Raw genomic sequence first — 2,008 nt, forward strand, 5'->3', positions numbered from 1 at the left:
GCCATTTAAGAGATGCCTTTCACCTTCTGCCATGATTCTGAGGCCTCCCCAGCCACGTGGAACTGCGAGTCCATTAAACCTCTTTGTCTTTATAAATTACCCAGTCTCAGGTATGTCTTTATTAGCAGCGTGAAAACGGACTAATACACTAGGCTAAGTGAGATTCTAATGATGGCACAAAGTTAGTGGCTCCAGTCACAGAAAATGAAGGGTCTGACATTTAGTTTCCAACCCCCTGTCCCACACTTTCTTCCTCAGAGTCCAGTTGCAATCAGAGCATGCACAGCAACAACCATACCACCCATATTAGGAAATCAGTGCTCTAGCCATATTATTAGATTTGGGGAAAAAAATGAGAACGTGTCTGGACATTCATTAGATCTCTGGGCATATCTGACCTTTGTGTTATTGGTACAATTAGTAATCAAATCCTTGGCATTTTTCTGTCTTTACCCAGGAGGTTCACCTTATAATTTTCTCAAAGATCATTATTTAGGTCCCAAATCCCAGACTGAGCTGGCAACATGATTATAAAGAAAAAATAAACCTCAAGCAGATTACATTACTTAAAAATTCACAGAAGAGGCTTGAAATTTTCTATTCACTAGAAAGAGCAGGGTCTGTACTACCTCTGTCAGCTTAACATTAACCAAGATGTGTAAAATTTAGCCTTTGACTTTAGCTAAAGTTGCAGCTCTTACCCAGAAATTTATTGGCTATACTAGTATTCATCTCAGTCACTGGAAATCATAAAGACATGTTAGGAAGTTAGTCTGAATATCATCAAAATCTTATAAAAATGAACAGAATATGAAACAAATATGTTTATACAATGGAATATAAAATTGGAAAATAGATATCTTTTTCCAGATGTGCTGAACACCACATTTCAGAAGTGGTCAAGAAAAACAGTGAGGAAAAGAGTTTGTAGAAATTATTTAAGATGAGGCAAACAGAGAAGCAGACATGTTCATATTTTGCTATGTCTTAGAATGATGAAATAGGAGAGAGTGGTATTTTTCCTTTTCTCACCTTACCCCACAACATTAACTGAATTATGTGATTTTGAAACAAAACCTTTGATTAACTACAGACCAGTTATGTCTCCTCACTTTCTAAGCATGCTTAGAACTGCTTGTAAATGACAGATCTTTGTGATGGCAATGGGAAGCCAGTTAAAGCCCTTCCCCCCGACCCTACCCGCCCCCCACACTGATGGTCATCAAAGCATGATTATTTGTTAAAACTCCAGTGGCCATCAGATTAATGAAGGTCCTGCCAGCCCAGTTTACCCTTTAAGTTTCCCAAATTTGGAGAGAAGAAAAAAGAAAAAGTTTGAACAGCTCATAAGATAAATTTTTAATCTAGTAAGCAAGGTTAATTGGATAGGGGTATTGAAAATAGCCAGAATATGAACAAGAATTAGATTGGAAAACAGTAGTCATTTCACAGGTTCTATATGGTGAACATATTTGAGATGATTCTTTTTCAGTAGTCCTGGGACAACTAGATCTTTGACTTATTACTTCCGTCTTTTTGTCCTGATTTTTAGGGAATATTTGTTTATAGCCAAACTAAAAGATCAGGCTGCAGTACAGCCACAAGACCCATTTCTGTGTAATATTGCTGAGTGGAAAACTTAAATCCCCCAGTCAGAAAATAAGCATCCACTGAGAGATGAATCTTGTAGAAAAGTAGTGTTGAAAAACTCAATCCACACCCAGAGTTTGGTGAAGGTCACTTCTGGATGATGATGGGGTGAAATGAAGCTGTGTATTTGTGAACCAAATTAATACACGAATCTGTAAAGCATTCAGGCTGACCTTGAGACAAATGCATCTCCTTCTTCCAACCAAATTATAGTTTTTAACTCCTCAGAAGGATTGCCTTTCTGAGTGCTGACTCCAAGAAAGTCTGCTCCCTGTTGGGTTGTTCCTGACATGTATGAATGTTACCTTTTATCATCTCTTGTCCACTGATGACAAAAGGAAACTAATTAAAAGTAATT

The sequence above is a fragment of the Homo sapiens genome, chromosome X (assembly GCF_000001405.40).
Source record: "Homo sapiens chromosome X, GRCh38.p14 Primary Assembly".
NCBI lineage: Eukaryota > Metazoa > Chordata > Mammalia > Primates > Hominidae > Homo > Homo sapiens.